At 40.4% G+C, this 21997-nt stretch overlaps 1 protein-coding gene, 1 long non-coding RNA gene and 1 pseudogene across 7 annotated transcripts in view, besides 1 other annotated feature; 1 reads left to right on the top strand and 2 right to left on the bottom strand.

Moving 5' to 3' along the window:
* SAMD8 (sterile alpha motif domain containing 8) overlaps positions 1-21997 on the bottom strand; it is an 82531-nt gene that overhangs the window by 41335 nt on the left and 19199 nt on the right. Inside the window, exon 1 of one of the 6 annotated variants that reach the window (XM_047424640.1) lies at positions 112-203. The exons of the other annotated variants lie outside the window; for them this stretch is intronic. The gene's annotated coding sequence lies outside the window, so the exon portion shown is untranslated. Of the gene's footprint in view, positions 1-111; positions 204-21997 lie in introns of those variants that run through there. 6 annotated transcript variants of the gene reach the window in all.
* Positions 1630-1797: a silencer, noted in NCBI's record as "fragment chr10:76898750-76898917 (GRCh37/hg19 assembly coordinates)". NCBI's record gives its function as "represses an EF-1alpha promoter that drives an FKBP-Casp9 reporter gene in an ReSE screen in K562 erythroleukemia cells {active_cell/tissue: K562}" and the evidence as "EXISTENCE:reporter gene assay evidence [ECO:0000049][PMID:32094911]".
* Positions 14918-15173, bottom strand: RPS26P42 (ribosomal protein S26 pseudogene 42; annotated as a pseudogene).
* LOC124902460 (uncharacterized) lies at positions 17090-21146 on the top strand. The gene is made up of 3 exons (XR_007062202.1): positions 17090-17138; positions 17388-17522; positions 21073-21146. It is a non-coding gene; the product is annotated as an uncharacterized LOC124902460 (long non-coding RNA).

Genomic DNA, 21997 nt, shown 5'->3' with positions numbered 1-21997 from the left:
CTTTAATTTTGTAGATATTGATACATTTCATAAACAGCTGATTTAAACACTTATTATACAACTACCTGTATTTGTTTTCTATTGCTTTGTAACAAATTACCGTAAGCTTACCGACCACTCGAATTCTTTACTGCATGGCCTCCTCTTTTCCCAAAAATCAGCAGCTTCTTCTGTGTTGAATTCCCTTCCCTTGTACTTGGATTATTTCTCCAGGAAAAGCCCAGTCCCTTTTAAGGGTTTGTCTGATTAGATCAGGTCCACTGAGGATAATCTCCCTTTCTTAGTCACCATGGGAGTGATATCCCATGATTAGGTGGGATTACAGGTCCCTCCCATTATACAAAAGCATAGGTCATTAGGAGTCATTTTAGAATTCTGTATCTTGACAGGGCGGGGTGGCTCAAGCCTGTAATCCCAGTACTTTGGGAGGCAGAGGCGGGTGGATCACTTGGGGTTAGGAGTTCGAGACCAGCCTGGCCAATATGGCAAAACCCTGTCTCTACTAAAAACACAAAAATTAGCCCGGCTTGGTGGTGCTTGCCTGTAGTCCCAGCTAATCAGGAGGCTAAGGCAGGAGAATTGCTTGAACCCGGGGACTTCTGCCTATCTCAGTACTCAAATCAAGACAAAGTGGTGTTAACATAAATCAAGGAAACAGAATATAGAGTCCAGAAACAAACCTATACATATATAGATATCTGATTTTCTACAAATGTGCAAAGGCAATTCAGTGGAGAAAACACAGTCTTTTCATTAAATGATGCTGGAACAAATGGATACCCATATGTAAAAACCTCAATTCATACTTCTACCACATATAAGAATTAACTGAAAATGGATCATAGACCTAACATAAAACCTAAGACTAGAAAATTTCTAGGAGAAAATCTTTCTGACCTGGGTTAGGTAAAGATCTCTTAGATGTGACACCAAAAACAAAATCCATATAAAAACAAATTGATGAATTGGTCTCCATTTCTCTAGGTCGGGGACAGAGGAAGGATTTTTAGGGTTTTTAGTCTGCAAGTTTCTGCATGGTTTGAATCTTTTATAATTAAGTCTCTCTATAATAAAAAGCCAAATATATAGAAGCAATATATATTCACTGAAGAACAGAAAATTTGAAAACTAATCCCTAAAGGATCACTCCTTATAATTTGTTATATTTCTCTCACACACAAAATTTTCTATAAAGAGAAATCACATCATACATAATTCTGTATCATTTTGCTTAACATTATTGCATGAGTCCTGTCTAATGCTATTAAATATCTTTTGAAAAGATAGTTTTAAAACATTCCATTGTATGACTATACAATAATTTATCCATCTCCCCATTGTTAACAATTGTTCACTATTTTATTATTATTATAAATGGCATTGCATTGCTTTAGGTTAAATTTCTAGAAGTGGAATAACTGTATCAACAAATCTGATTTAAATACTAACTCTTATTACACCATTAAAGCGTGGTCCACCTTAAAAAGCATTTCATGCAAAGCTTGGTACTTGTCCAAAATGTTAATGGGTGGTGACCCACGCCTATAATCCCAGTACGTTGGAAGGCCGAGGTGGGCAGATCACTTGAGGTCAGGAGTTTGAGACCAGCCTGGCCAATGTTGTGAAACCCTGTCTGTATTAAAAATGCAAAAAAAAAAAAATTAATCGGGCGTGGTGGTGCATGCCTGTAATTCCAGCTACTCAGGAGGCTGAGGCGGGAGAATTGTTTGAGCCTGGGAGGCGGAGGTGGCAGTGAACTGAGTTCACACCATTGCCCTCTAGCCTGGGCAGCAAGAGCGAAACTCCGTCTCAAAAAAAAAAAAAAAAAAAGAAAAAACCACTTAAGCATCAAAGGTCAATACCTATCAAGGTGCTGAGAGAACAGTCATTCCTGCAGAATCCGATTATCAACAGGAATTATTCAAACTTAGTTTTAAGTCACAGATAACAGATAAAAACACCGGACTGTTCTGAACAATATGAAATATCTTATCTTTTGGGTGACCTCTGGTTAGAATTTTTGAAAACTGTTTTTAAGAAGTGCAATTTTCAGCAAGTAAATGCTTTACTAGTAAATTTGTTTCTTTTCTCTCCAAACAAATTTAGTTCATACTAATTAGAGATTTCAGCAGCCTAAGAGCAAAAGAACTCAGTATATTTTCTATTATATTCTTATATCCATACTTGATGAAATGAAAAAAGCTTATCATAAACATAACAACCTTACATTTGGTACTCCTAAACATTAGCCCAGATAGTCTTTAGTCAATGAGTCTTTAATGCATCCCATTAGAGTGACCCAAATCTCTTTACAATAATTTAAATAATCCAAATGTGTTCTACCACATTAAAACTGCAAATACCATAGCACAATCAGCCCATTAACTGCAAAAAGAGATAATGACTTTGTCCCCACCCTACCTCTCCAACTTATCAGCTGCAGGACATTCTCAATACTACTGGAAATGGTGACCTGACTAAAAGGAGCACTGCCATCTACGAATCACCTCTGACTCAGTGCCTGTGGCAGATATGATGAAGCAGCACTCAGTATCCTTTCTAGTCTCCCTCTAGTCGTTTCCTCCTACTACACAGTCTGAAAAGCTAATCATTATTCCTCAGGGTCCCTTGCTACTAGGATTCAAATGTGAATCAGGTTCAGCCAACTAGATGCTCATGAGATGCTCATGAGATATGGAAAACAGATGGTGAAATGGGAGTTGTTTTACTGAAGTTTTGGCTATCCACAAGGATTATGGAAATGCTGACCACATGCACATAATTCTCCAGGTTTCAGTCACTAACTTTGTAAGGGTCATGAAGCAGCTGCAGTTGTGGGGCAAGTAGTAGTGGTTTCCTAATACCTGCATAACAGATACATGCTCTTTTCTGTGTGTGTGGTTAACTATACATAAAATTTACCATTTTTACCATTTTAAGTGTTATAGTTCTGTTTCCTTAAATACATTCACAATGTTGTGCCACAATTACCACCATCCAACTTCAGAACTTCATCATCACTCCAAGCAAAAACCCTGTAACCTATTAAGCAATAACTCACTATCCCCCTCATGCTCAGTCCCTGGTATTCTCTAATCTATATTCTGTTGTTATGAATTTCCCTATTCTAGATATTTCACATAAGTAGAATCATGCAATATTTGTTCTTTTGTGTCTCATTTCACTTAGGCTTCAAGGTTCATCTGTGTTGTAGTGTATGTCAGAATTTTCTTTCTTTTTTTTTTTTTTGAGACGGAGTCTCACTCTGTCACCCAGGCTGGAGTGCAGTGGCACGATCTTGGCTCGCTGCAAGCTCCGCCTCCCGGGTTCAAGCAATTCTCCTGCCTCAGCCTCCCAAGTAGCTGGGACTACAGGCACCTGCCACCACACCCAGCTAATTTTTGTATTTTTAGTAGAGGTGGGGTTTCACAATGTTGGCCAGGCTGGTCTCGAACTCCTGACCTCAAATGATCCACCCACCTCGGCCTCCCAAAGTGCTGGGATTACAGGCATGAGTCACCACGCCCAGCCCAGAATTTTCTTTCTAAGGCTGAATAATATCCCCTTCTATGTATATATCACATTTTGTTTACACATTCATCCATCCATGGACACTTAAGCTGCATTCATCTTCTGGCTATTGTGAATAATACTGCTTTGAACATGGGTAAACAAATATCTGTTCAAGTCCCTGCTTTTACTTCAGGTATATACCTAGAAGTGGAATTGCTGGCTTGTACAGTAATTCTGCTAAATTTTTTGAGGAGTCACCATATCATTTTCCACAGCAGCTGAACCATTTTACATTCCTACTAGAAATATGCACAAAGTGTTCTAATTTCTCTATATTCCTGCTAATACTTGTAATTTTCTGTTCTTTTTCTTAATAGTAGCCATTTTATGACATAAAGTAGTATTTCATTGTGATTTTGATTTGATTTCAGTAATGATTAGCCATGTGGAACATCTTTTCATATGCTTACTAGACCTTTGTATATTTTGCTTGGAGAAACACCTACTCAAGTCTTTTGCCTATGTTTTTACTGGGTTTTTTTGGTATTGAGATGGCGCATTCTCAAACTCAGCATTTCATGTTGGCCTCCTAATGCCAACCTTCTGACTGTAGCAAAGGTAGCATTCCTCTGACAGGCCAATTTAAATATTGTAGTAGAAGTCATTCCTAGCCCAGACCAAAGAAGTTTCTCTCTCTTGCAAGTGAACCCTGACTGATTACCAAAGGCTCTTTAGTCCTCTGAATTGTTGATTTCAGAACAAGCTAAGTACCCAAAGGTCAAGGCTTCAAGCTGTCTCATATAAGGTCCACATTCTGGTCCAATTCTAGGTAAGGCAAGGTAAGTTTATGTTTTTTCCCCTTAGCTTCCTGGGAAACTAAGCAGGATATGTTTTTCAGCTCTCTTCTCATTAACTATATGTACTTTTGCATTCTTTGGAATGAATGACATGTTTTATTTCAAAAAGCTATTCAATTATTTTTTCTCAACCAAGTACTTAGTGACAGGGGAAAAAGACTTGAATAGTAAAATAACCTATTAGTAACTTACACAAAACAAAAGCTCTGATCTGGCTACTTCATCTACCAAGCAGGTTCAACAGTAGTAAGAACATGAAAGCAGACAAGTACCATACTACAAATTAAAGAAAAAGAAAAGGGAGGAAAGGCAAAATGAGAGTGTATCTAGCCAAAAAAAAACCAAAAGAAAAGAAAAGAAAAGTAGCACTCAGTGCAGCAGAAGAGCTTAGTGGGTTTTTGTTAGGTTATTTTTGTTTTATTTTTAGGAAAGATAGAGTAATCAAGATGATTACTAAGGCCTATATGATTAGCACATGGTAGGTTCTCAATAAACATTTATTAAATAAATGTGCAAAAAAAAAGCAGCAATCAAAATAATAATTCATTCAGTTCCCCAATGTCCTTCTAAACAAGATTTTTTTTTTTTTGATACGGACGGAGTCTTGTCCTGTCGCCCAGGCTGAAGTGTAGTGGCGCGATCTCAGCTCACTGCAAGCTCTGCCTCCCAGGTTCACACCATTCTCCTGCCTCAGCCTCCCAAGTAGCTGGGACTACAGGCGCCCACCACCATGCCCAGTTAATTTTTTTGTATTTTTAGTAGAGAGAGGGTTTCACCATGTTAGCCAGGATGGTCTCGATCTCCTGACCTCGTGATCCACCCGCCTCGGCCTCCCAAAGTGCTGGGATTACAGGCATGAGCCACCGCGGCCAGCCACAGATCATTTTTAAAATTTCAACTTTATTTATAATTGACACATAATTGTACACATTTATGGGGTACAGTGTAATTTTTTTTTTTTTTTTGAGATGGAATTTCGCTCTTGTTGCCCAGGCTGGAGTGCAGTGACACGATCTCAGCTCACCGCAACCTCTGCCTCCCGGGTTCAAGCGATTCTCCTGCCTCAGCCTCCTGAGTAGCTGGGATTACAGGCATGCACCACCACTGCCCAGCTAAATTTGTATTTTTAGTAGAGACGGAGTTTCTCCATGTTGGTCAGGCTGGTCTTGAACTCCCGACCTCAGGTGATCAGCCCGCCTCGGCCTCCCAAAGTGCTGGGATTACAGGCATAAGCCATCGCGTCTGGCCCAGTGTAATATGTTAATACATGTATACACTGTATGATGATCAAATAAAGATACTTAGCACATATATAATTTTAAAGTTATCATTTGTTTTTTGTTTTTTGTTTTTTTCTAGAGACAGGGTCTTGTTCTCTTTCCCAGGCTGGAGAGCAATGACACAATTATAGCTCAATGAAACCTCAAACCCCTGGGCTCAAGTGATCCTCCCACCTCAGCCTCCTGAGTAGCGGGGACTACAGGCATGTGCCATCATGCTTGGCTAATTTTTTTTTTACTTTTTTGTAGAGACAGGGTCTCACTATGTTGCCCAGGTTGGTCTCAAACTTCTAGGCCCAAGTGATCTTCCTGCCTCGGCCTCCCAAAGTGTTAAGATTACAGGCATAAGCCACCACACCAGTCACATCTATCATTTCTTTGTGGTGATAACATTCAAAATCTTCTAGCTACCTTGAAATATACATTATTATTAGTCATAGTCACCCTACTGTACAACAGAAAACCAGTTACGCTTCTCATCTAACTGTAATCTTTTTTTTGGGGGGGGGAAAGTCTCACTCTGCCACCCAAGCTGGAGTGCAGTGGCGTGATCTTGGCTCACTGCAGCCTCCACCTCCTGGATTCAAGCAATTCTCCTGCCTTAGCCTCCCAAGTAGCTGGGATTACAGGTGCCCACCACCACGCTCAGCTAATTTTTGTATTTTTAGTAGAGATGGGGTTTTACCATGTTGGCCAGGCTGGTCTCTAACTACTGACCTCAGGTGATCCGCCGGCCTCGGCCTCTCAAAGTGCTGGGATTACAGGCATGAGCCACTGCGCCTGGCCTGTTATTTTATTTTAAATTCCGGGATACATGAGCAGGACATGCAGGTTTGTTATACAGGTAAACGTGTGCCATGGTGGTTTGCTGCACCTATCAACCCATCACCTAGGTATTAAGCCCTGCACGCATTAGCTATTTATCCTGATGTTCTCCCTCTCCCGGCTGCCCCCCACTGACAGGCCCAGTGTGTGTTGCTCCCCTCCCTGTGTACATGTGCTCTCACTGTTCAGCTCCCACTAAATGCCATTTGTCCCAGCAATACCATTACTGAGTATATACCCAAAGGAATATAAATCATTCTATTATAAAGATGCATGCACACGTATGTTCACTGCAGCACTATTCACAAGAGCAAAGACATGGAATCAACCCAAATGTCCATCAATGATAGACTGGATAAAGAAAATGTGGTACATATACACCACGGAATACTATGCAGCCATAAAAAGGAATGAGATCACGTTCTTTGCAGGGACATGGATGGAGCTAACTGTAATTTTGTACTTGCTGACCAACCTCTATCCATCCTCCTCTCCTATCCTTTCTCTCTAGCCTCTGATAACCACTATCCTACTTTCTACTTCTACAAGATTAACTTGTTTTTAGATTCCATATATGAGTGAGATCATGTAGTATTTGTCTTTCTGTGCCTGGCTAATTTCACTTAATATAATGTCCTCCAGATTCATCCATGTTGCTGCAAATAACAGGACTTCATTCTGTTTTGTGGCTGAATATGAATATGGTGCATGCACACAGACATACACACATTTTCTCTATTTATCTGTAGACGGACACTTAGGTTGATTCCTTATCTTGGCTATTGTGAATAGTGCTGCAATAAACATGAGAGTGCAGTATCTCTTCAACATCCTGATTTCATTTCCTTTGGACATATATCCAATAGAGAGATTGCTGGATCGTATGGTAGTTCTATTTCATTTTATTTTTTGAGACAGGGTCTCACTGTGTAATCCAGGCTGGAGTGCAGTGGTGCAGTCTTGGCCCACTGCAACCACCGCTTGTCAGGCTCAAGCAATTCTCCCACCTCAGCCTCCCAAGTAGCTGGGGCTATAGGCACGCACCACCACGCCTAGCTAATTTTTGTATTTTTTTTGTAGAGATGGGGTTTTGCCATGCTGCCCAGGTTGGTCTTGAACTCCTGAGCTCCAGCAATCTGCCTGCCTCAGCCTCCCAAAGTGCTGGGATTACAGGCGTGAGTCACCACACCCAGCCTCTATTTTAATTTTTGAGGAACCTTCACAGTGTTTTCCATAATGGCTGTATTTACATTTCCACCAACAGTCAATCAGGATCATTATAAACAAAACAAAAACCTGCCTTTTTCTTTCTTTATTGATTGACTGAGACAGACTCTTGCTCTGTTGCTCAGGCTGGAGTGCAGTAGTGTGATCACGGTTCACTGTAGCCTTGACCTCCCAGGCCCAAGGGATCTTCCCACCTCAGCTTCCTGAGTAGCTGGGACCACAGGTGTGTACCACCAAGCCCAATTAGTTTTCTTATTTTTTGTAGAGATAGGGTCTCCCTAGGATGCCCAGGCTGGTCTTGAACTCCTGGGCTCAAGTGATCCTCCTGCTTTGGCCTCTCAAAGTGCTGGGATTACAGCCGTGAGCCACCATAGCTGGCAAAAAAAAAAATCTGCCTTTGGACAGCTATTTCAGTCTTAAGAGTATACAGGAAAGATTTTATTACATATTTCTCTTTATTTATATTTTTATTATAATACTTTATTACAAATTCTTCACGGCTTCAGGGAGTTTTATATCCATAAATTTAAAATGTCCAAATGTCAAGAGATAACACAGGGTCACTAATTTGGTAAATTTACCAGGAATCAGGATCTGGTATTCACCCTTAGAGATCAAAACTTGACCCTGTCAGTTCCCCAGAGTTGGTCAAACCAAGAGAGACTAAAAGCAAACTCACAAGGTACTAATGGATAAACTAGAGAACCAATTCTAGACACTCAAGTGTCTAAAAAGAATGCTCAAGCATTATCTCAGGCACATCCTTTTATAATTCTGAAGTGTCTAGGAGGCTGATTTAATAATCAGAACGCTACTTGTAGAGCAAGTAATCAGGGCAAAGAAAAACAGATCGTCTTGGGCAAAATCTAATCCAGCTTCCTGTGAGACCTAACGTAACATCAGTGCCACAGAGCAGAGAGTACCTGTCTAGAAAAGGTTGTTTGCATCTCCCAGTTTCAGTCTCTCTCTCTCCTAGACAGTGTAGGATATAAAAAGCCAATTCTCTTTGATGCCTCCTTTGCCTAGGCTTCCAAGGAAACTACATATACAAAGGTTTTCAACCCTGGCTATACATTAGAATAGTCTGAAATTTTACAGTGTATTTGTATCAATGTCCATGCCTCATCCTAGGACAACTGAATCAGAATCTCAGAAGAGACAGAAATTTTATATCTGCATTTTTTAAAAAGCTCCCCACGTGATTCTAATGCACAGTGAGGCTTGAGATGCCAAGATGTTTAGAGTATTTAAAGTCATCTAGAGAGTTAATATTGGTGTTGAAATTAAACTCCAAGAATTTCGACAACAAATTCAGTGTTCTTTCCACCATTTCATGCTGCTTTTCCTTGGAGCTAAAGGATGAGTTAATAATGCTATCAAGTTCTAACAGAGATTTAAAGATTTATTATAGATTTTTAAAAAATATTCTTACCATATTTTGGAGACTCACTTATTTCTTTAATTATCAGAAATATATAAATTGTAGATAAATTTGATCAGTTATTTTTAATAATCAAAATTCTGTTTTCTGGCTATTAGATTTTGGTATTATAGACAGATTCTAAGCTTCTAATTAGTATATGTTTTAATATAAAATAACCTATAATTTTTCTTAATATTATATATCTTCAGTCAACACTAGAGCGTGATTTTTCTTTTCAGACAGTTCTGTGTATATGCTTAAACTATATTTTATTCAACTGTATTATGTAGTAATTAGTAGAGGCAACAAGCCAACATCAAATCAAAATGTAATAGATGAAATAAGATGTGTGCAAAGGCACCTCGAAGACTCAATGTTATACAAACCAGAAGCAGAGAAGAAGCAGAATTAGAATGGATGGTCACATAGTGCTCTGCAAGCCTCAGATTAAATAATACTATAAAATGAGGAAGGAAAGAAAGGGATAACAGAAGGAAACTAACATTTATGAATACCTACTACAGGTTAGACCCTGCAGGGTGATTTCATGTGGGATCTCATTTCCTAATTATAACAACAACTGCTTGATCTTTGCCTAGTTGTTTTGAGGGTTCTGCCTGCCTGGACTTCTGTTTTATATTTTCTACCTCTTGAGTCTTCCAAGCTCTCTTCAAAGTAATAGATAATAAAATAAATATAAAACAATAACAGCAGCAGCAGCTACATTTGTTGAATGCTCAGGCACTATTCTGAGCACTTTATCTTTATAATACTATTTAATCCTCACAACACTTTTATGAGGTAGACATTACTATTATCTTCATTTTACACGAGACAATGAAGGCACAGAAAAGTTAAGTGAAGTGACCAAGGTCCTACTTGAAATTGTCCGAGCCAGGATTCAAATTTGGGATTCAAACATTTTGCCAGATTTGCTTTACACAAATTATTTAAATTATTATAATTTAAATGATTTAAAGTCACCTAGAGAGTTAATATTGATGCTGAAATTAAACTCCAAGAATTTTGACAACAAATTCAGTACTCTTTCCATCACTTCATGCTGCTTTTCCTTGGAGCTAAAGGATGGGTTGAAAATAAAGCTACTAAATCCTACCAGAGATTTAAAGAATGATCATAGTGTTTTTTTTGTTTTTGAGATGGAGTTTCGCTCTTGTTGCCCAGGCTGGAGTGCAATGGTACGATCTCGGCTCACCACAACCTCCACCTCCTCGGTTCAAGCAATTCTCCTGCCTCAGCCTCCCGAGTAGCTGGGATTACAGGCATGTGCCACCAAGCCCGGCTAATTTTTTTTTGTATTTTTAGTAGAGACGGGGTTTCTCCATGTTGGTCAGGCTGGTCTCGAACTCCTGACCTCAGGTGATCTGCCTGCCTCGGCCTACCAAAGTGCTGGGATTACAGGCGTGAGTCACCGTGCCTGGCTGATCATAGGTGTTTTTTTTTAAGCATTCATATCTTATTTTGAAGACACTTCTTAACTGTTTAATATAAAGACATTATGATATTCACCATAAATATTTCGGCATCCAGTTGTTATTCATCTTCTAATAATAATGACAACTTCCTAAATAAGTACAATACACATTACCACACCTAAGAAAATTAACCATAATATCTCCCCTAATTGCCCCTCAAATTTATTTTATTTCTGTTTCCTCCAAAAATCAGGATTCAATTTAGGTTCATGTATTACACTTGGTCATCACATCTTGCTAGTGTCTTTTAGTCTAGAACAGTGCCCTAGCTCTTGTTTCTTTTTAGGGGGAGACAAGTTCAGGGTAGTTCTTTGTAGAATAACCTGTATTCTAGATTTACCTAGTTGTTTATTTCCTCTACTCTTAACCACTATACTATGATGTCAAGGGTTAAGATCACAGCTAAACCTAACACAAATCTCCAATCATATGTATTCATGTAGCTACTCAGATGGCTTTGGGGTGTTTCTTAAAACATTAATGGCTTTGTTATGTATCTAAGGCTATATAAACAAACCATTTTCTACTGTCCCTAAGATTATATAACTTCTTTTTCCTACGTAGATGACAAATTCAAATCTAAAGATGCCAAATGAAACTAGCTAATCATTTTAACTTTAAAGAAGTCCAGGCCGGGTGCGGTGGCTCACACCTGTAATTCCAGCACTTTGGGAGGCCGAAGCAGGTGGATCACGAGGTCAGGAGATGAGAGCCTCCTGGCCGACATGGTGAAACACTGTCTCTATTAAAAATACAAAAATTATCTGGGTGTGGTGGTGCATGCCTGTAATCCCAGCTACTTGGGAGACTGAGGCAGGAGAATCACTTGAACCAGGGAGTTGGAGGTTGCAGTGAGCCGAGATCATGCCACTGCACTCCAGCCTGGTGACAGAGCAAGACTCCATCTCAAAACAAACAAAAAAACCCAGAAGTCCAAAAGAGTCACTTGAGCTGGGGACTTCCAGGCTATAGTGAGCTATTACTGCACCTGGGCAACAGAACAAGACCTAGTCTTTAAAAAAAAAAAAATAAGAAGAAGAAGAGGAAGTACAAAGAAGATATAATAAATATCTTTAGAATTAGAAGAAAAGCACACTGGAAAAAAGATCCAGTTGAGATGGTTTTTTTTTAGGTGATTCAGAATACAGAAAGAAGTATGGAGGAAAAGTAGGGCTTCTATATTACGAAAGTGTCAACTTTTGTTAAAAGACCCTTTTGCAGAAGAAGTAATACATTTTCGTCAGTATGTGTCTGAAATTTTGCTATTTAGGCACTAAAACCAATTATATGCATGTATTAATAATGCAATACAAACAGCTGGATAAAAAAGCAAATCTTTTCATCTCAGGCTTGCAACTATTCACTTCCTTTAATCTGTAATCACCCCAAGGCACCAGCCCAGTATCACTGTGTACCACTTCTAATCAATAATTCCCTTCCCCACCCCCTGCCGACCACCCATAGTAACCACAAACCTATCTTCATGATAATCCCTTGTTTTTCTTTATAGCTTTACTACCTAAGCATATATCCATAAACAATATAGTTTAGTTTTCCCTGCATTTGTACTTTATATGAATGGAACAATACCATATGTATTCTTTTAATCTTACACCAATGTAGATTTCAGAATTCACCTGTTATTAAAAATATCTAAGCTGGGTATGGTGGCTCATTTCTGTAATCCCAACACTTTGGGAGGCGAACTCAGGAGGACTGCTTCAGCGAAGAAGTTCAAGACCAGCCTGGGCAACATATGGAGACCTTGTTTTTATTAAAATTTAAAAAAACAGAAGGGCGGGTGCGGTGGCTCACGCCTGTAATCCTAGCACTGTTGGAGGTCGAGGCAGGTGGATCACTTGAGGTCAGGAGTTCCAGACCAGCCTAGCCAACATGGTGAAATGCTGTCTCTACTAAAAATACAAAAATTAGCTGGACGTGGTAGCATGTGCCTGTAATCCCAGCTACTCGGGAGGCTGAGGTAGGAGAATTGCTTGAACCTGGGAGGCGGAGGTTGCAATGAGCCAAGATCGCGCCATTGCACTCCAGCCTAGGTGACAGCGACTCTGTCTCAAAAAAAAAAAAAAAAAAAAATTAAAGAAGAAAAAAAAATCAGAGCCAGATTAATTTTAGAGGGCTGTTAAAACAGTTTTAAGGTTCAAAATAATACAGGGAACGTTAAATAGTCATTTTAATTTGTCAGTAAAGACCGGTAAAGGGTTTATCACCTAGGAAGAGTTAACTGCACTGAATGGGAAAGTATATTCAACCAGAACAAATAAAATATTCTTCAAAGGAAATACAGTGAACAAAAGTACATGTTGTTCCTTAGCATGAACTAGTTAATCCTTTCTGAGTTAAAATGTCTCAAGAGGACTTGTTTATTTAACATTTACATGCTGAATACTGTCTGTCATGTAACTGGGATTATCAGCTATCCATTCAATACCTAGTTAAAATAGTAGGAAGCAGACAGGATGTACAGCTAGAGGATATGTGATGTCAGCAGAGTGTTATTCCTTAAAAAGAATGTACACCCTAACTCACAAACTCAAGTTCTGAACCGTGTTCAGTGCATTTTCAGGAAGTAACAATAAATTAGCTAACATTCATGGCATTTACAGTGTCTGAGGAACTGTTCTACGTGTTTGACTTATATGCCCAAATAATCCTCACAACTATATAAAGTAGGTACTATTAATTTCCTCATTTTATAGATGTGACAACTGATATAAATGGGTTAAGTTCCCCAAGATCAACTTGTACTAGCAAGTAGTACAGAGAACTGTTCAACCTAGGCAATCTCATTTTAAAGTTCATATTCTTACCCATGACAATATACTGCCTCACATGAACTGAGGGCTCTTGTACTTCTGCAAGAACTAAATCTCAAATATAAAATACTAAATATTTTCTAGTTATCAGCAGAAGAATGTATCAAAGTTACATTACATAACAAAGATTTTTTTTTTTTTTTTTTGAGACAGAGTCTCGCTCTGTGCCCAGGCTGGAGTGCGGTGGCGCAATCTCAGCTTATTGCAACCTCTGCCTTCCAGGTTCAAGCGATTCTCCTGTCTCAGCCTCCCGAGTAGTTGGGACTACAGGCACAAGCCGCCTCTCTCCACTAATTTTTGTATTTTTTAGTAGAGACACGTTTTCACCATGCTGGCCAGGCTGGTCTCGAACCGTTGACCTCAGGTGATCTACCCGCCTCGGCTTCCCAAAGTGCTGGGATTACAGGTGTGAGCCACCGTGCGCAGCCTAATGAAGACTTTTTGAATCACAATTTTGCACTGTTCAGTCTCAAACATTTACTAAGTGTCTATTATATAGAGATGCCAGACACTAAGGCACTGAGGATACAATCCGGCCAACCCGGTGGCTCAGGCCTGTAATCTCAGCACTTTGGGAAGCCAAGGCCAGAGGATTGCTTGAGCCTAGGAGTTTGAAATTAGCCTGGGCAACATAGGGAGACCTCATCCCTACAAAAAAAAAAAAAATTAGCCAGCGTGGTGGCACGTGCCTATAGTCCCAGGTCCTCAGGAGGCCAAGGTGGGAAGACCACTTGAGCCTAGGAGGTTATGGCTTCAGTGAGCTATGATCATGCCATTGTACTCCAGCCTGGATGACACAGCAAGATACTGTCTCAAAAAAAAAAAAAAAAAAAAGCAAAAGCACTCATATGTTACATTTATTCATCTATTAAATATTTACTGTACACATACTATATGAAGGGTATTACACTAGGCAATGTGGCATTCATCCAAATGAATCTGAATCAGATCTTGCTCTCAATGATTCTACAGTCTAGAAAGGGATATTAAAGAGAGTCATAATTAGTTCACTCAATCCTCAAAAGACTAATAAAGTGGATATTTATCTAATTTGCTAAAAATTGGAAAGTTAAAGGAGTTGGAAAAGAGAAGTTATTTCCAGTTGGTAAAATCAGAAAAGAGTTCTTGGAAGTGACTTTTGAGCTAAGCGTTAAAGGAGTAGTAAAATTATGTGGATAGAGATGAATAAAGTACAATAGCAAAAATTTAAAAATAAATAAATAGATCAATAAATAAAAATAAAAGTATACTAGCAGAGGAAATTGCATGACCAAAGTATGAAGGCAGGAAACAGTGGTGAACCATCAGTATGTAAAAGGCACAGGGGAATAACAAGATAAAAAGTTGAAAATATAAACTGGGGCCAGATGATGAAAACCTTTTTGTTTTTGTTTTTAGTATAATCTCCACTTTATCTTTTTCCAGAAGATAGTTTTTCTTCAGTCCTTAAGGAGTCGGCTCCTTATACGGACTTTGGTGGAGGTCATGGGGCAGCACTCAAAAGTCTAAGTCAGGTAGACATGTTTGGTCCTTGCAGGCTTTACAAGTTCGATTCTTGACTACCTTTCTGCGAATGGCACAACTCATGTAGTTATGTAGCTTCACATACAGCTTTGGAAGCACATAGGTGCCCAAGGTACTTGTTTCAGAAATGTCCCTGATAGCTGTGGGCTCGACTATGTTTCAAATAATGAACTTTATTTTTTTTTCCTTTTTTTGAGACAGGGCCTCACTATGTCACCCAGGCTGGAGTGCAGTGGCACAATCTTGGCTCACTGCAACCTTTGCCTCCTGAGCTCAAGTGATCCTTCCACCTAAGCCTCCCAAGTAGCTGGGACCACAGGTGTGCACCACAACGCTGGGCTAATTTTTGTACTTTTTTTTGTAGCGATAGGGTTTTGCCATGTTGCCCAGGCTGGTCTCAAACTCCTGGGCTCAAGTGATCCTCCCGTCTCAGCCTCCCAAAATGCTGGGATTACAGGTGTGAACCACCACACCCAGCCTCAAATGATGAACTTCTTAAAAGGCTTGTCCCTGGGCATACATCATGCACAGTTCATGCAGCAAATAGGCTGCATAAGGCAGTAGCCCTTTTAGACACAACAGTTGTTCCTTCTTGGAAACGAGGACCTGAGAGAGCCATGGAAACCTCTGTCAAGTTAAAAACATTCTACACACAATGGGATTCTCTGCAGATAGCTGAAAAAGAGGATGACATAATCAGAGTGTGTTTTAGAAAGAATAATTGGCTAGGTGTGGTGGCTCATACCTATAATCCTAGCACTCTGGTAGCTGGAGGCGGGAGGATCACTTGAGGCCAGGAGTTCAAAACCAGCCTGGGCAACATCGTGAAATCCCATCTCTGTAAAAAACAAACAAACAAAAACAACAACAACAAAAAAATTAGCTGGCTGTGCTGGCATGTGCTTATACTCCCAGCTACTTAGGAAGCTGAGCCATGACTGTGCCATTGCATTCCAGCCTGAGTGACAGAGTGAGACCCCATCTTAGGAAAAAAAAAAAAGAAAAAAAGAAAGAAAAATTGTCTTAAGAGTGTAAAACAGATTGTGAGACAGGATGGAATATAATGACAGACATGAAGACAGAATGAAGGAAACAGCTTCTAAAAAGTAGAGGAACAGAAGAGAGAGCTACTCTTCAGTATGTGTACCGTTTTGCTCTCTAGATTTTTCTGACAGGTACCTTTTTTTTTTTTTTTTTGAGATGGAGTCTCGTTCTGTCACCCAGGCTGGAGTGCAATGGTACCATCTCAACTCACTGCAATCTCCGCCTCCCGGGTTGAAGCAATTCTCCCACCTCAGCCTTCCAAGTAGCTGGAACTACAGGCGTGCGCCACCACGCCTGGCTAATTTTTGTATTTTTACTAGAGACAGGGTTTCACCACGTTGGCCAGACTGCTCTCGAACTCCTGACCTCAAGTGATCTGCCCGTCTTGGCCTCCCAAAGTGCTGGGATTACAGGCATGAGCCATGGTGCCTGGCCTCTGACAGGTACATTTTAAAAAATAAATGGATTTCTGCTTGCAGGAAGATGGAGTAGACATACTTTTTCCTATTACTCTATGGACATTATATATAAAATAAACATAAGAAGACTCTGAGAAATGAAGAGGAAGACTGACTGGCCAGGCACCTTGGGACCCAAGGAACAACACAGTAGTGAGCTCTTTGGGTGTTTTGTTTGTTTATTTTGCCATATATATCCCAAAGTGGATACTAGAGAAGCTAGCAACCTGGAAATGTCAAAGGTGCAGATAAAAAAAGCTCCAAGAAAAAACAAAAGACCGGCTGGGTGCAGTGGCTCACGCCTGTAATCTCAGCACTTTGGGAGGCTGAGGCAGGCGGATCGCTGGAGCTGAAAAGTTTGAGACCACCCTGGGCAACATGGTGAAACTCCGTCTCTACTAAAATACAAAAAATTACCTGGGCGCGGTGGAGTGTGCCTGTAGTCCCAGCTACTCTGAGGCTGAGTAGCTACTCTGAGGCTGAGTAGCTACTCTCAGGCTGAGGCTGGAGAGTCGCTTGAGCCCTGGAGGCAGAGGTTGCAGTGAGCCGAGATCATGCCACTGTACTCCAACCTGGGAGACAGTGAGACTCCACCTCAAAAAAAAAAGAAAGAAAAGAAAAACCAAAGGACCAGAAAAAGAGACAGCCTAGCAAGATGTAAGACTTTTAGACAATAACCCACTCTATTCCAGCCAAACACCACATAAAAAACCAGCCCCATTTCCACTCCCACCCTCACCAGGAAAGGCCAAATGGAGAGCCTTGATTTTTAAGCCTGTCAGGTTATAATCCGGCCATATCTCTCTCCACACCAGGGTGGTATCAGAGAAGACCAAGTAGGGAGCTGGGATTGTCATCATTGTCTAGCAGTAACAAGTCTCTCCCCCTCTCTTAACATGCTGTCAGAGGAGTCCATTTGGGGAACTTGGACTTCAAACCCAAACAGCACTTATGAGGCACCCCTCCTGCTCCTTGCCGAGGTACTACCAGAGGAAGCCTGCTGGAGACTCAGGATTAACACCACTCAGTGGTATATCGGAGGTAACAAAGCCACCCACAACCCTCATCTCCTTTACCCGCCCAACCCCCTGCACAGGGTGGGGTGGGGTGGGGTGGGGTGGGGTGGGGTGGGGTGGGGTGGGGTGAGGTGGGGTGGGAAGCAAGCATGAGGTGTCCATTTCCTTCCCAGCAAGCAAGGTACAAAACTTAACCCTTCTCCACCTGGCACTATGGAGATGGTGTCTGTAGAAGGGCCAATATCCCTCACGAATATAGATGCAAAAATACTTAACCAAATATTAGCAAACAGAATTCAGCAATATATAAAATTAATTATATATCATGACCAAACAGGGTTCATTCCAGGGATGCAAGGCTGGTTCAATATTTGAAAATCAAACAACGTAACTCACCATGTTAACCTGCTAAAGGAGAAAAAACACAGGAGCATATAAATAAAAAAAGCATCTAACAAAATTTTTATCGCAAATACCCATTTATAATACAAATTGTCAGAAAACTGCTAACAGAGGAGGATTTTTTGGGGAAGGGGTAAGAGACGGGGTCTTGCTATGTTGCCCAGGCTAAACTCCACGGCTCAAGCATCCATTCCTGTCAGCCTCCCAAAGTGCTGGGGTGCTGGGTTTACAGGAGAGAGCCACAGTGCCCAGCCAAGAATTTTTTTTTTTTTTTTTTGAGACAGAGTCTCCGTCTATCATTCAGTCTGGAATGCAGTGGCATAATCTCAGCTCACTGCAACCTCTGCCTCCAGGGTTCAAGTGATTCTCATGCCTCAGCCTCCCAAGTAGCTGGGATTACTGGTGCCCCCACCACGCTCAGCTAATTTTTCTATTTTTTTTCTGGAGACAGGGTTTTGCCATGTTGGCCAAGCTGGTCTCGAATGCCTGACCTCAGGTGATCTGCCTGCCTCGGCCTCCCAAAGTGCTGAGATTACAGGCGTGAGCCACTGCGCCCAGCCTATAATTATTTCAAAATAAAAACTGAGAAAATTTTAAAAGAAGCACAATGTCCCAAAAAATAGCAAATATGGTATATGTGTATATTTTTAAATAAATAAATATCAAACTAGTAATATTTACTCCTTGAATGGGCCCTTTCACTGTCTACATTAAAAATTTCTAAAATTTCTATATTCCATACAATAAGAATGTAATACTTATAATCAGAGAGAAAAGGTTTTTTTAAGAAAATGATGTGATATGATTTTGAAAAAAGAAAGAAAATGAAAGCAGTATTATTTTTCACTGTTTGAAGCAAATCTCATTTAAACAGATATAAATAGAAAATTAAGAAAGTCGCTGGGCATGGTGGCTTACTCCTGTAATCCCAGCACTTTGGGAGGCCAAAGAGGGTGGATCACTTGAGGTCAGGAGTTCAAGACCAGCCTGGCCAACATGGTGAAATGCTGTCTCTATTAAAAATACAAAAATTAGCTGGGCATAGTGGTGGATGCCTGTAATCCTAGCTACTTGGGAGGCTGAGGCAGGAGAATCGCTTGAACCTGGGAGGCAGAGGTTGCAGTGAGCCAAGATCGCACCACTGCACTCCAGCCTGGGCGACAAAGTGAGACTCAGTCAAAAAAAAGAAGAAAAAAAAATTAAGAAGGTCAATTAAATTCAATTATTAACCCATATATGCATATACACACTAAGTATATGCATGAGGCAACCAGCAAAACCAGGAAGTCCCAGAAAAGATCTGATCCAGTTCCATGACCCATTAACAGTGTGATGTTGGAAACAGCTTAACCTTTATCTCATAAGGGATCCAGAGATTACAAACAGAAAGTAATTTGAAACATTAAACGTGTTGTGTTTTGTAAATCAGGATGACAGAGTTCTTAGGTTAGAAATGGAAGTGACCTGAGAGATCTAGTACAATTCCTCAATTTACAGCTGAAGAAACTAAGGCTAGAGAGTTAAGCTTCAGATAAATAAGCTATTTGCCAACAACATCTGATATACAGCCCAGAAAGTAAAGAGTACTGGCTCTAGAATTAAACTGCCTAGGTTCAAACTGAGGATTTACCACTCACAGTTATGTGACCCTGCAGAAGTTACATAACTTTCTTGGGCCTCACTGTCTTTATCTGTAAAATGAGGAGAATTCCTACTTCATAGGCTTGTTGTGAAGATTGCATGGAATTATACATGTAATGCACTTACAATAATGCACTTATAATAATGCTTAGCAAACAGAAACTGCTCAAAAGTCCGGGTGTGGTGGCTCCCGCCTATAATCCCAGCACTTTGGGAGGCCGAAGTGGGTATATCACTGAGGTTAAGACTTCAAGACAAGCCTGGTCAACATAAAACCCCACCTCTACTAAAAATACAAAAATTAGCCAGGTGTGGTGGTGCACGACAGTAGTCCCAGCTACTCGGGAGGCAGAGGCAAGAGAATCGCTTGAACCTGGGAGGCGGAGGCTGCAGTGAGCTGAGATTGCACCACTGCACTCCAGCCCAGGCAACAGAGTGAGATTTCGTCTCAAAAAAAAAAAAAAAAAAAAAAAAGATGGAAATTACTTTTCAACATAACAACGTAATTAAGCTACATAAACTGAGAAACAATAATATAAAATAGAGGTTCTAGTTACTCAATGCATTGCTCTACACATCAATATGCACTGCTCATATAACGACTTAACATAAAATTTAACTATTAATAAATATTTCCACAGGAGCATACCACTCACCAACATTTTAAAAAGTATGACGCTGGCCGGGCGCGGTGGCTCACGCCTGTAATCCCAGCACTTTGGGAGGCTGAGGCGGGCGGATCACGAGGTCAGGAGATAGAGACCATCCTGGCTAACACGGTGAAACCCCATCTCTACTAAAAATACAAAAAATTAGCTGGGCATGGTGGCAGGCGCCTGTAATCCCAGCTACGGGAGGCTGAGGCAGGAGAATGGCATGAACCTGGGAGGCGGAGCTTGCGGTGAGCCGAGATCGTGCCACTGCACTCCAGCCTGGGCAATAGAGCGAGACTCCATTTCAAAAATAAATAAATAAAATAAAATAAAAAGTATGTCAGTGATGTAACTGATTACTGTTGATACCTGAAAGCACTTCTGTACAGTTTGGGAATTGGGAAACTTCCTAAAGTGATAGGCACTAAAAACTAGAAAGACACAGCTATTCCACTGGGCTTAATTATACCAACACACAAGAGACCAAAATAGCCTCTAATCCATCACTGGACAATCTTTACTTTTTTTGAGACAGTGTCTCACTCTGTCGCCCAGGCTGGAGTGCAGTGGTACAATCTCGGCTCACTGCAACCTCCACCTCCCAGGTTAAACCGATTCCCTTGCCTCGGCTTCCCGAGTAGCTGGGATTACAGATGCGCGCCACCACGCCCAGCTAATTTTTTTGTATTTTTAGTAGAGACGAGGTTTCACCATGTTGGCCAGGCTGGTCTTGAACTCCTGACCTCAGGCAATCCGCCTGCCTCGGCCTCCCAAGGTGCTGAGATTACAGGAGTGAGTCACCGTGCCCAGCTAACAATATTTAAAATACAGAGAATATATCAACAAAATGAAACCTTTACAATATGCTTACTTTTACAGAAGCAAAATCCATGTTCAGATGGTGATTACAGTGACTTAAACATGCTGGATTTTTCTTGTAGTTTCACTTCTCACGTGTGCGCACGTGTGTGTGCATGTGTGTGCAGAAAATCATCAAAAATATTGGAGTACAACCAGCTGAAGCAACTGTCCTCTATTCTAAATTCTGTGATTGTATTTAAAAGCCCTACATTCAAATGCCCCTAAAGGAATTCACAACTGATAAAACTTGACTCATAAATACAATATGTGCTATTTGTATAAATTATTATTGATTCACGCCTGTAATCCCAGCACTTTGGGAAGCCAAGGCGGGCAGGTCACCTGAGGTCAGGAGTTCGAGACCAGCCTGACCAACATGGAGAAACCCCGTCTCTACTAAAAATACAAAAAAATTAGCTAGGCATGGTGGTGCACCCCTGTAATCCCAGCTACTCAGTAGGCTGAGGCAGAATTGCTTGAACCCAGGAGGCGGAGGTTGCAGCGAGCTGAGATCGCACCACTGCACTCCAGCCTCAGTAACAAGAGCGAAACTCCGTCTCAAATTAAAAAAAAAAAACAAATCATTACTGATTTAGTTTACAAAATTTAAAAGTTAAACAGCTTCCAAATGATGTATAAAACGTAAAAAAATTAAGATCCATATCCCAAGATAAACACTGAGGAAGAGACTTCAAACATTATATAAAGCTAGAGTTAATAAATTTTTCTTAGGGCAATTATATATTATAGATGCACTGAAGCTGAAATACAGCTAAATCAAATACATTTAGCTTATCTAATATCCACATAATAAAGACTACATGTTTGCAGATCCATAAACCAGAACATAAAAACAATTCTTATGAAAGCAAAAAGCCTAAACTATGATGTAGGAGGATAAGGTTTAATTTGGGCATATATGGCTAAACTTTGTGATTAATAA

This window comes from Homo sapiens, chromosome 10, assembly GCF_000001405.40.
Source record: "Homo sapiens chromosome 10, GRCh38.p14 Primary Assembly".
NCBI classification, from domain to species: Eukaryota; Metazoa; Chordata; class Mammalia; order Primates; family Hominidae; genus Homo; species Homo sapiens.
Note: the sequence above shows the minus strand (reverse complement) of the source record. Positions and strands in the feature narration are given on the sequence as shown.